The sequence below is a fragment of the Homo sapiens genome, chromosome 16 (genome assembly GCF_000001405.40).
Source record: "Homo sapiens chromosome 16, GRCh38.p14 Primary Assembly".
NCBI lineage: Eukaryota > Metazoa > Chordata > Mammalia > Primates > Hominidae > Homo > Homo sapiens.
In genome coordinates, this window is record NC_000016.10 from 23,821,485 (window position 1) to 23,834,583 (window position 13,099).

At 42.5% G+C, this 13,099-nt stretch overlaps 5 annotated features.

Moving 5' to 3' along the window:
* Positions 386-889: a transcriptional cis regulatory region, noted in NCBI's record as "candidate enhancer chr16.1866 targeted for multiplex CRISPR interference". NCBI's record gives its function as "positively regulates PRKCB gene expression with high confidence in K562 cells {active_cell/tissue: K562}" and the evidence as "EXISTENCE:mutant phenotype evidence [ECO:0000015][PMID:30612741]".
* Positions 4,986-5,125: an enhancer, noted in NCBI's record as "active region_10587". NCBI's record gives its function as "activates an Ori minimal core promoter by ATAC-STARR-seq in GM12878 lymphoblastoid cells {active_cell/tissue: GM12878}" and the evidence as "EXISTENCE:reporter gene assay evidence [ECO:0000049][PMID:35858748]".
* Positions 4,986-5,445: a biological region, named in NCBI's record as "CRISPRi-validated cis-regulatory element chr16.1867". NCBI's record gives its function as "regulatory_interactions: PRKCB".
* Positions 5,073-5,445: a transcriptional cis regulatory region, noted in NCBI's record as "candidate enhancer chr16.1867 targeted for multiplex CRISPR interference". NCBI's record gives its function as "positively regulates PRKCB gene expression with high confidence in K562 cells {active_cell/tissue: K562}" and the evidence as "EXISTENCE:mutant phenotype evidence [ECO:0000015][PMID:30612741]".
* Positions 5,156-5,255: an enhancer, noted in NCBI's record as "active region_10588". NCBI's record gives its function as "activates an Ori minimal core promoter by ATAC-STARR-seq in GM12878 lymphoblastoid cells {active_cell/tissue: GM12878}" and the evidence as "EXISTENCE:reporter gene assay evidence [ECO:0000049][PMID:35858748]".

Below are 13,099 nucleotides of genomic sequence, written 5' to 3' on the forward strand. Positions count from 1 at the left end.
TTCTGATTCTTATCGTTCTCCCACCTCCCACTATGGCAAATTGGACTAGGGATGCACTGTGGAAGAAAGATTAATCAATTAGAGTCTCTCTCTGGGAATTTGGAATTGAGACTATGTGAGAGCATGTGCGGGGGATGGAGATTGTGTCAGGTACACTGGGGGGATGTGGGGAGGCACACACACTCCTACACTCAGGAAGGAGGTATTTCCCAATTTGGAAAGAGAAAAGTAGATGAGAGGAGAGGAGAGAGAGATCAATCCAATTCACATTTTTTGTTTTCTAGATCTGGGGGCCTCGCTGGATTGCTGCTCTTGGCGGCATGAGACACCTCTTAATTCTTGTAGTAATTTCCCCTTCATTTGCTTGAGTTAGCCCTAAAGAGCTTCTGTCACTCACAATAAAAGTGTTTTTAATGTGCCATTCTTATGAAGAGATGCTCAACCTCATTCATAATAAGATAAATGAAAATTAAAATTCCACCAAGAGACTATTTATCACTTATCAGCTTGGCCAAAATAGAAAAGCATGACAATGTTGTGCGTACCGCTGTGGGGGAAACTGGCATTGTCATCATGAGTAGGATGAGTACAGAAGGCCATAGCCTCTGTGGAGGGCAAGCTGGGGACATCTATCAGCCTTGAAAATGCACTTACCCTTTGACCTAGCAATCCCTAGTTCTGGGAATTTATTCGACAGTTGCACTGCTGTGGGGAGGAGATGATGTATGTCCAAGGTCATTTGTTGTAGCATCATTTGCAATAGCAAAAGTTTGGAGATGACCCAAGTTTTTACTGATGAGGGACTGGTTAAACTAACAGTTATACAGAATATGATACAGCTGTAATGATTGATGAAGTTCTCTATGTTCTGATACAGAAAGAACTCCAGAAAAGTTGTGAGTTTTTTGTTTTTCTTTTGTTTATTTTATTTGATTTGTAGAGACAGGGTCTCACTCTGTTGCCCAGGTTGGAGTGCAGTGGTGCAATCATAACTCACTGCAGCCTCAAACTCCCGGGCTCAAGTGATTCTCCCACCTCAGCCTCCTGAATAGCCAGGACTATAGGCGTATGCCACCACACCCAGCTAATTTTAACTTTTTTTTTTTTTTTAATAGTGACAGGGTCTCACTATGTTGCTAAGGCTGGTCTTGAACTCCTGAGCTTAAGCAATCCTCCCACCTCAGCCTCCCGAAGTGTTGGGATTACAGGTGTGAGCCACTGCACCCAACCCAGAAAGATTGTTACGTGAAAAAATAAAGTGCAGAATATTTTACATAGTGAGATACTTTTTTTTCTGTAAGAAAAGAGGAAAGGAAGAATATATCAGAATATATGCAGCATTGATTTTTAAAAATATTTAAATAAGTAAATTTAATAAAGGAAGTATGGAAAGAAGAATAAGAAACGATAAACTAATAAATATGATTACCTCTAGGGGGTGAAGAGAAAGGCTAGGACGGGAGATGCTCCTCTCCATGAAAACCTTTTTATATTATTTTAGCTCTTAAAAAATGAACACATTAACTGTTCTAAAAATGAATGCAAGTAAAACGTCATATTTTAAAGTGAATTCAAATATTAAGTAATTCTATTCTATCCAATTGTCTAAAGAATTGAGGGCAGGCCAGGCATGGTGGCTCATGTCTGCAGTCCTGGCACTTTGGGAGCCCAAGGTGGGAGAATGGCTTGAGCCCAAGAGTTTGTGACCAGCTTGGGCAACAAAATGAGAACCTGTCTCTACAAAAAATAGAAAAAATGGGCTGGGTGCAGTGGCTCAAGCCTGTAATCCCAGCACTTTGTGAGGCTGAGGTGGACGGATCATGAGGTCAGGAGATGGAGACCATCCTGGCTAACACGGTGAAACCCTATCTCTACTAAAAATATGAAAAATTAGCCGAACTTGGTGGCATGCGCCTGTAGTCCCAGCTACTCGGGTGGCTGAGGCAGGAGAATCGCTTGAACCTGGGAGGCAGAGGTTGCAGTGAGCTGCACTCCAGCCTGGGCAACAGAGTGAGATTTGGTCTCAAAAAAAAAAAAAAAAACAAAAACAAAAAAACAAAAAAGAAAAGAAAAAATGAGCCAGGGTGTAGTGGTGTGTGCCTGTAGTCCCATCTATTCAGCAGGCTGAGGTGCGAAGATCACTTGACCCCAGGAGGTCGAAGCTGCAGTGACTCATAATCACACTTTAGCCTGGGTGACAGAGTGAGACCCTATCTAAAAGAAAAGAAAAGAAAAGAAAAGAAAAGAAAAGAAAAGAAAAGAAAAGAAAAGAAAAGAAAAGAAAAGACAAAAAGAATTCAGGGCCAGGGCAGTGGAAGAAAACATACTATGTTTATACCTTGACATTTGTTTAAAAAAAACACCCAAACCTGGAATGTACCAATGAAAATACAAAAGCAGAGAAAGTGTGTGGTAAGTATCCCTTTAACTGAGTAGTTTGTGCTTTCTACATTTGGCGCTGTGGTTGCTTGTTGAAACCTCCCCTCTCCAGGTCACACTACATCCGGAAGCAGTATTATGGATGGGCATTCTGCTTGGCCAGTTGAAGATTAAGCTGACCAGCCAAGCATAGAAAAGAATTCCAGGACAGAGAGAGATGTTGTATTAAACATTTCTTTTCAACCTGAAGGGATCAGGTGGCCTCTTAGAGAAATGACAGAACCTATTTTCTCCTTCTCATCTGTTCTCGCCGTTGGCAATCTCTTGTTGTAGGAGGGAGTAAGTAAAGATTGCCTGGGGGTGGAGGGGTAATAGAGCTGGCATCTTTTCACAGATGTGGGCGGGAGGGTTCTGTTAGCCTGGGAGCCCCATCTCATTGGATACTCAGGAGCATAGATTCGGGAGTCAGAGTGGGGTGGATGGAGCACAGCTGTCCTACGCTAGTAACTGAGTGACCTTGGGCACACACTTGACTCCTCTGTGCCTCAGTTTCTTCATCTTTAAAAGGGGAAAGTGATATCACCTACCTATATGATTACCATGAGGATTAAATGAGTTGATACATTGAAAAATGTTAGTAGAATGCTCAGCACATATGAAGTCCTCAATAAATGTTAGCACTGAAAGAAATAATGATAATTTTATTATTATATGACTTCAGACTAAATAAGAGAGTTGACAAGTATGTAAATGGTTGCCACTCCACATCTCTCGCCAACCAATTTACTGCATCCTTGTGAAGAAGGTTAGAGGAGAGATGTGTGGACACTGATTCACACTGATCTAAGAGAATAAATATAGTTCCAGTAGCTATTATGTGTGAGGCACTGTGTTTGGCCCAGGGAAGGATAAATTGGTAAGCAAAATAGGACTATCTCTGCCTTCACAGAGGTCCTAAGCTACCCAGGGAGATGAATGTGATGGACTGAGTATTTGTGTTTCCCCCAAATTCATGTGTTGAAGCCCTAAGGCCTGTGTGATGGTATTTGGAGGTGAGGTCCTTGAGAGATAATCAGGTTTAGGGGAGGTCGTGGTCCTCCTGATGGGATTAACGTCATTCTAAGAAGAGGAAGAGGCCAGAACTCTCTTTTTCCATCTTGTGAAGATAAACTGAGAAGGTTGCTGCCTGCAAGAGGGGAAGGGAGCCCTCATCAGACTCCGGATCAGGTGGCACCTTGAACTTGGACTTCCCAGCCTCCAGAACTGTGAGAAATAAATGTCTGTTGTTCAAGCTACCTAATCTGTGATATTTTGTTCTGGCGGCCTGAGTTGATGAAGACCATGGCCAAGTAAACAGACAACACAATGCTGTGTAAGTGCAGGCCAGTTCAGGATGCCAGAGGATCACAGGGAAGGAACATCTAATTTAAACCCTAGGAATCAGGAAAAACTTCTTACAGGCAAGGACAGGAACAGCAGACCCCCACTCCACTTGGTAATAAAACAACTATCTCTTTCCTACAGCAAAAATAGTAGTAATAGTAATAGTAGTAGCTGTAGTAGTAGCAGTAGTAGTAGTATGGTAACGATAATGCTAATAATTAAAACACATTGAGGGCTTGTTCTAAGCATGTTACATGCATTAGCTCATTTAATCTTAACGTCTTAGTGGAGCTACTCTGCACTTACATGACTTGGCCTTACCCTAATTCTGCCCACCATAACCTATATTTATTTTAAAAGTTGATATTTCCCTCATCAGGGATTTTTTGCATTAGTTTTGATGTTTTTAAATATTGCATTAAATGTTGTTTATCTTGCTTACTGATTTTTTTTTTTCCTTTTTGAGATGGAGTCTGTCGCCCAGGCTGGAGTGCAGTGGCATGATCTCAGCTCACTGCAACCTCCACGTCGTGGGTTCAAGTGATTCTCTTGCCTCAGCCTCCCAAGTAGCTGGGATGACAGGCATATGCCACCACACCTGGCTAATTTTTGTATTTTTAGTAGAGACAGGCTTTCGCCATGTTGGCCAGGCTGGTCTCAAACTGCTGACCTCAAGTTATCCACCCATGTTGGCCTCCCAAAGTGCTGGGATTATAGGCATGAGCCACCACGCCTGGCCTTACTTACTGATTTTTTGGCATCCCTTTAATTTTGCACTCAGGGCAAGCATCTTTCTCTCCTTACTCTAGTCCTGGCCCTGCTGAGGAACACCATGTGGGGAAGGGTAAGCAGAGCTGTCTAGCCTGCCCAATTCAGGCTGTCTATGCAGAAGGCATTTGCGGTTCCTCCTTTCCAGACAGCATCATGGGAGGAAAGAGAAAGAGAACGCATTCCCTATTTGGACTCAGTCACCCCTTAGCATCCTCCTTCCCAAATAGGGTCCCTGCAATGGCTTTTAGTATTACTTTAACGTGGCATCAAGTCCCACTGAATCTCACAATGAGAGTCCTTCCTTATTTAACTTGCTTTCAATTATTCTAAAACCATCAAGGAGAAAGTGCCAGATCGGTGCTAATAGGTTTTTAACACCTCTCTAATACTTAATGAGCAGGCCTCTGACTTTCCTCCCCTGCCTCCTTGAATGAAGAGGGTTATGGAGCTGGAATTTTAGAATCACAAGTCTGTCCTTGAATCTGAGCCCCATTACTGTACTATTACTGCTGGGAGGACCAGACGACTGTGATGGGAATGATGCTTCAGTCTGGATGTCTGACCTCTTTGTTTGTGCCCTCGTACCTTCATTTTTTTCAGTTTCCCTTTCTAGAATTTAGTAAACCAAACAAGAACTTTCCCTGACCTGAATACTGGGTTCAATTGTGCTGTGTTCATTATTACGCAGCATTTTACCCACGATTACTTCCTGTTCAAGTTCCTGTTTGTTGCTGTACTCTGAGACCCCACCTAGGTACTGGAGGCTCTTCAAGGGAAGAGGAAGACAAAACCTCCTTTCTGAAGGGGAACTTAGCTCAGGGAGTGGGGTAGATACAGGACCACGTGGCATCACAGATCCAACTGTTCAGAGTCAGTCTAAAGGACTTAAATTTTAGTAATTCTACTTCTGGGTGTATTCCTAAGAGAAATAGGCACGTATGTCCACAAAAAGACATGTACAAGGATGCTTATGGTAGGGTTTTCCAAAGTAGTCCTAAACTGGAAATAACCCAAGTAACTATCAACATTTAATGGATAAGTACACTGTGATATATTCATGAACAGCAATACAAAAGAACGAACACAGATACACACAAAAGCATGGATGAATCTTACTGACATTATGTCAAGTGAAAGAATCCAGAAACCGTATGATTTTATTCATATGAAACTCAAGAACAGGGAAAACTAATCTACCATCTCAACCTTAAAAAGGAAGGAAATGCTGACACACAATGGTACATGAATGAACCTTGAAGACGTTATGCTAAGTGAAATTACAGAAAGACAAACACTGTATGAGTCTACTTTTACGAGGTACCTGGAGTAGTCAAATTCATAGAGACAGAAAGTAAAATGGTGATTGCCAGGAGCTTGGGGCAGAGGAAATGGATAGTTGTTTAATGGGTATAGAGTTTCAGTTTTGCAAGATGAAAAGAGTTCTGCAGATTGGTTGCACAGCAATATGAATGTACATAACACCACTGAACTACAAACTTAAAAAGGCTAAGATGGTAAATGTTATGTTATATATTTATACCACAATTTAAAAGATTCTAACAACAACAGCAACAAAACCTAATCTATGATGATGAAAGTCAGACAGTGGCTCCCTTTTGAGGTAATATTTCCTGGGAAAAGGTACAGAAGAGTTTCTGGGGAACTAGAACTTTTCTGTATGTTGACCTGGTGGAAGTCATGTGGGTATATACATATATAAAAAACATAGTCTGTTGCATGTACAGCTTATTGCATAGATGTTATACTATAACAAAAAAGTATTTTAAAGAAGGTAGCCATCTGCTGGGCACAGTGGCTCATGCCTGTAATCCCAGCACTTTGGGAAGCCGAGGCGGGCAGATCACGAGGTCAGGAGTTTGAGACTAGCCTGGCCAACATGGTGAAACCCCGTCTCTACTAAAAATACAAAAAATTAGCTGGGCATGGTTGTGAGCACCTGTAATTCCAGCTGCTCAGGAGGCTGAGACAAGAGACTGCTTGAACCCTGGAGGTGGAGGTTGCAGTGAGCTGAGATCGCACTACTGCACTCCAGCCTGGGTGAGTGGCTCCATCTCGAGCCACTGGAGTGCAGTGGCTCAAACTTGGCTCACTGTAACCTCCGCCTCCCAGGTTCAAATGATTCTTCTGCCTCAGCCTCCCGAGTAGCTAGGATTACAGGCACATGCCAGCATACCTATCTAATTTTTGTATTTTTAGTAGAGATGGGGTTATACCATGTTGGCCAGGCTGGTCACGAATTCCTGACCTCAAGTGATCTGCCTGCCTTGGCCTCCCAAGTGCTGGGATTACAGGTGTGAGCCACCGTGCCCGGCCCATCTTAGCTATTTTTAAGTGTAGTCCAGTGATGTTAAGTGCATTCATGTTGTTGTGCCACCATCACCACCATCCATCTCCGGAACTCTTTTCGTCTTGCAAAGCCAAAGCTATACCCATTAAACAATAATGCTCCATTTCTTCCTGCTCCCAGCCCCCAGCAACCACCATTCTACTTTCTGTCCCTATGATTTTGACTACTCTAGGTACCTCATATGTATTAGTCCATTTTCTGTTGCTTATAACAGAATACCTGAACCTGGGTAATATAAAGAAAAGGAATTTATTTCTTACAGTTATGAAGGCTGAGAAGTCTAAGGTTGAGGGGCCACATCTGGTGAGAGCCTTCTTGTTGGTGAGGACTCTCTGAAGATTGCAGAGGTAGCTCAGGGTATTATATGGTGAGGGGGCTGACCATACTAATGTACTTGTTCAGATCTCTCTTCCTCTTCACATAAAGCCACCAGTTCCCCTCCCATTATAAGACATTAATTTATTAACCCATTAATTCACTCATGAGGGCAGACCACATCATGATCCAACCATCACTTAAGGGCCCCACCTATTAATACTACCACACTGGGGATTAACTTTCCAACACATGAAATCTGGGGGGGTGGGGGAGGCACATTAAAACAATATCGTATAAGTGCAATCATACAGTATTTGTCTTTTTATGACTTGCTTCTTTCACTTAGCATCATGTTCTCAAGGTTCATACATGTTGTAGCATGTGTCAGAATTTTCTTCTTTTTGAGGCTGAATAATATTTCATTGTATGTATATGCTACATTTTGCTTATCTTTTCATGTTTTAGCTACTGTGACTAATGCTGCTGTCAACATGGGTACAAATATTTCTTTCAGACCCTGCTTTCACATTTTTTAATTTCAACCTATTTGTGTCTTTGGATCTAAAGTAGGATCTCTTTATTATTTATTTCTTTATTTATTTTTGAGATGGAGTCTTGCTGTGTCACCCAGGCTGAAGTGCAGTGGCTTGATCTCGGCTCATTGCAAAGTCCACCTACCAGGGTCAAGTGATTCTCCTGCCTCAGCCTCTGTAGTAGCTGGGATTATAGGTGCCCACCACCACGCCTGGCTATTTTTTTTTGTGTTTTTAGTAGAATGAGGTTTCACTACGTTAGCCAGCCTGGTCTTGAACTCCTGATCTCAGGTGATCTGCCTGCCCTGGCCTCCCAAAGTGCTGAGATTACAGGTGTGAGCAACCATGCCTGGCCTAAGGTGAGTTCTCTTGTTGTAGACAGCATATAGTTAGGTCGCATTTTTGAAAATCTATTCTGCCAATCTCTGTCTTTTGATTTGAGAGTTTAATCCATTTACATTTAAAGTAATTACTGAGAATGAGAGACTTACTTTTCTCATTTTGATATTTGTTTTTTATATAACTTATAGCTTTTCTTGTTCTTCTTTTCCTGCATTGCTATCTTATTTTGTGGTTAGCTGATTTTTTTTTTTTTTTTTGCAGTGAAATGTTTTAATTCCCTTCTCATTCCCTTGTGTGTATATTCTATAATTATTTTCTATGTTGTTACCATGGGGATTACATTAAAATCCTAAAGTCAGAATATTCTAATTTGAATTCATACCAACTTAACTTTAATAACATACAAAATCTCTGCTTCTAATACCTCTGTCCCCATCCCTTTCAGTTATTAATGTCATAAAATTACATCTTCATACATTGTGCACCCAAAAACATAAAGTAGTAATTTTAAATAATGCATTAGTCTCTTAAATCACGGAGAAAACAGTAAGTGGATTTTATGATGATATTAGCTTTTATAATTGCCCATGTATTTACTTTTACTGAAATATTTATTTCTTTACATTGCTTCAAGACACTGTCCAGTGCACTTTGATTTCAACCTGCTGGACTTCCTTTAGTTTAGTATTTCTTGCATGGCAGCTCTAGTGGTGACAAACTCAGCTTTTGCTTATGTGGGGATGTCTTAATTTCTCTCACTTTTGAAGGACGGTTTTGACAGTTAGAGAATTTTGGGTTGATTATTTTTTCTTTTAGCATTTTGAATGCATCAGCCCACTACCTTCTAACTGCTGAAGTTCTGATAAGAATCTGCAGATAATCTTATTGAGGATCCCTTGTATATGATGAGTCACTTCTCTCTTACACTTTAAAGATTCTCTTTTTGTCTTTGGCTTCAGACAGTCTGATTATAATGTCTTGGTGTGGGTCTTTTTGAGTTATTCCTACTTGAAGTTTGCTGAGCTTCTTGGATGTTTATATTCATGTCTTTTATCAAACTTGGGGAGTTTCTGGCCATTATTTCTTCAAATAAGCTCTCAAATAATTCTCCTTTCTCTTTCTCTTTTTCTGAAATTCCCATGGTACGCTGTTGGTTTGCTTGATTGTGTCCCACAAGTGTTTCAGGCTTTGTTCACTTTTTTCAATCATTTTTCTTTTCGTTCTTCAGACTCAATAATTTCAATTGTCCTATATTTAAATTTGTGCATTCTTTTTTCTGCTTGCTTAAATCTGCCTTTGAAACCATTTAGTGATTTTTAAATTTCATTTATTGTATTTTCACCTCTAGAATTTCTTTTTGGTTTCTTTTTGGGTTTTCTATTTTTTTATTGACATTTCTGTTATGTTTATGCATTTTTTTAACTTTCTCCATGTCTTCCTTTAGTTCTTTGAGCATCTTCAATATAGTTGCTTTAAAGCCATTGTCTAGTAGGCTCACCTTCTGATCATTCTCTGGGACAGTTTCTGTTGGTTTATTTTTTCCCTTTGAAGGGGCCATACTCCCCTCTCTCCCTTCCTCTCTCCCTGCCTTCCTGCCTTCCTTCCCCTCTATCTCTTTCCTTCTTTCTCCCCCTGTCTCTCTTCCTGTCTTTCTTTTTTGAGATAAGGTCTCACTCTGTCACCCAAACTGGAGTGTGGTGGCACAATCATGGCTCACTGCAACCCCCAACTCTCAGGTTCAAATGATCCTCCTGCCTCAGCCTCCTGAGTAGCTGGGACTACAGGTGTGGACTACCTGTCTGGCTAATTAAAAAAAAGTTTTTGTGGAGATGGGGTCTCACTATATTGCCTCAACTGGTCTCAAACTCCTAGACTCAAGTAGTCTTCCCACCTTGGCTTCCCAAAGTGGAGGCATAAGCCTCCACCACACCTAGCCTTTTCTTGTTTCTTACTATAGGTTTTTAGTTACAATTAGTAGCAGTTCTAAGTGATCTTGAGAGTTGCCACATTTCAAATGCTCAGCAGCCACATGTGGGTACTGTGACAACTGTGTTGAAGAGTGCAGCCTTAGAACAAAGGGATTGAGGCCGAGCGCGGTGGCTCATGCCTGTAATCCCAGCACTTTGGGAGGCTGAGGCGGGTGGATCACCTGAGGTCAGAAATTTCAGACCAGCCTGGCCAACATGGTGAAACCCTGTCTCTACTAAAAATACAAAAATTAGCTGTGCACGGTGGTGCACGCCTGTAATCCCAGCTACTTGGGAGGCCGAGGCAGGAGAATGGGTTGAACCTGGGAGGCGGAAGTTGCAGTGAGCCGAGGTCGCATCACTCCACTCCAGCCTGGGTGACAGAGCAAGACTCTGTCTCAAAAAAAACCAAAACCAAAACAAAACAAAACAAAAAACAAAAGAATAAAGGGGTTGAGAGGCAAACTACTGTATCCTTGTCCTACCTTAGAGAAGAGGAAAATGAGACACAGGAGGAAGTAAGTGACTTGCCCAGGGTTATGCACTGTAGTCATTTAAATGGTAGCCCCCAAGAAGGTACATCCATGTTATAATTCCTGGAACTTGTGAATGTCATTTTATTTGGCGAAGGGGTCTTTGCAGGCATAACTATATTAAGGATTTTGAGATGAAGAGATCATCTCGGATTATCCAGTGAAGCCCTAAATCCAAGGACCAGTGTTCATATAAAAGATATACAAGGTATAGGGCCAGTGCAGTGGCTCACGCCTGTAATCCTAGCACTTTGGGAGGCTGAAGGCAGGCAGATCACCTGAGGTCAGGAGTTTGAGACCAGCCTGGCCAACATGGTGAAACCCTGTCTCTACTAAAAGTACAAAGATTAGCCGGGCATGGTGGCGGGTGCCTGTAATCCCAGCTACTTGGGAGGCTGAGGCAGGAAAATCACTTGAACCCGGGAGGCAGAGACTGCAGTGAGCCGAGACCATGCCATTTCACTCCAGCCTGGGCAACAAGAGCAAAACTCCATCTTGGAAAAAAAAAAAAAAGAAAAGAAAAAAGAGATATACAGGGGATATTAGAGAAACAGAAGGGGTGAAGATAGGCACACAGAGGAGAGGGTGATATAAAGACAGAGGAGGATGGGAGCGATGTGACCACAAGCCAGGGAAGCCAGGGAATGCTGACAGCCTCCAGAAGCCACAAAAGGCAAGGAAGCGTTCCCCTCTGAAACCTCCAGAGGGAATGTGGCCCTGCTGACACTGTGACTTATGGTTTCTGGCCTCCAGAATGATGAGAGAATAAATTTTTGTTATTTCTAGCCACCCTGTTCTGTTATAATTTTTTATGGCAGCCACAGGTCTGGAGCAAAGGGACCTTGGACTCCATTCTCAGCCACAGCAACCTGCCCCCTCACTGCCTCTGAAATCTTTCAAGTGACCAGCATTCACTCCTTCATGAGCAGAGTGGGCCTGGGGGGCTCTGGTGGCAAGGAGGACCCATGCCCAATCTACGGGGAGCTGCTGCCCTGCAGCTCCTGTTGGCACTATGCCATGTTGCCCTAATCTCTTGCCTGATCTGCTCAGTTGACCTCTTCACTGCTCTTCCTGCCTCCACCCTTTCTCCTCTAATTTCCACATAGTAGCTAGGGTAAGCTTTTAAAATGAAAACCCCATAAGTTGTATCAGGCCACTCCTCAGCTTCCAACCCTCCAATGGCTTCCATTCACTGGAGTGAAATCCAAACTCCTTATCACATTTGCAAAGCCCTTTGGGGCCCTGCTACCTCCCTGACCTCATCTCATAAGTCCTCTCTCCTCTCTGTTCATCCAACCACTGAGGCCTTCTCGCTATTTCTCCAACATACCAAGCTTGATACTCCCCTAGGCTCTTTGCATTTTCTGTTTTCTCTGTCTGGAAACTCTCGATAGTCCCCTGGCTCACCCTCTCACTTTATTCAGGCCTTACTCAGATGTCCCCATATTATAAAGGATTTCCCTGTGGTCTTTATAATAATGCTTTATTTTTATTTACAAACATTCTATTATACACCACCAGGTATGGATTCGTTAGTTGGTTAGGTTATTACTCCCCCTTCCCCATTAGACTATAAGCTCCACTAGGGCAGGGACCTTTGTCTGGTTTGTTTAACAGTATCTGGAACAGCACACAGTAGGTGCTTAATAAGCAATTTGTTGATTGAAAGAACAAATGTATGAGTGAGGGAGGAATGTAGGCTCCATTTAGCTCTATCTTTTTTCCTAGATAAGTCAGAATCTGGATATTTAAGTAAAATTCTATGACCCGTGAACTTAAAAAACAACAACAACAACAACAACCCACTGGGCTAGCTTAAAAAAAATAGAGCATCTGGAGCCACCAGTTTGAGACCCTGACCTACAGGAATCTGGGTCCAATGGGAACCACATTTCTCATCCTCACTTGGTGCAACGCCTTCAGGAACCAAGTGGCTCTTTTCCATCCACAGCCCTTGCATCCCCAGGCCCCGGCGCCATGAGGTACTGTTTGTTGTTACAGACCAAAGTCATCCAGGGCACTTCATTCAAAAGGCAGGATGTGGGCTGTGAGCTTCCAGCTCATCAGTTCAAAGGAAATCTACTTCAGCAGCAATGTCTCCTGGGATGTTTTCCCAAGCCTCCCTGGGAGGTGGTGGGGCCTCTTCAAGGACTAATAATAGACAGGCACATCCAGTTTCCCAAACATGTCAACCTTAAAAGTGAATGCTATTTTTTCCTCCTTACCTTTGAATTACTATGTAGGAGAGGGACATTCTATTATTGCAGCCCTTGCTCTCGACATGCTACCTAATAATGACTTACCACTCAGCAGCTTCCAGGCAAAATTGTCATAGTGGGACCTGAGCTCGTGCAACTCCAGCCTGCCCCCCTTCATCCACCACTACTCAGGTTCACCCCTTTGTCACCAGGATGCTTTGTAGTCAGGCCAGCCCAATCACCATTCAGCAACGGTATGACTGTGGGTGTATCTTAATCACTCTGAACCTCCCCATCCTTATCCATA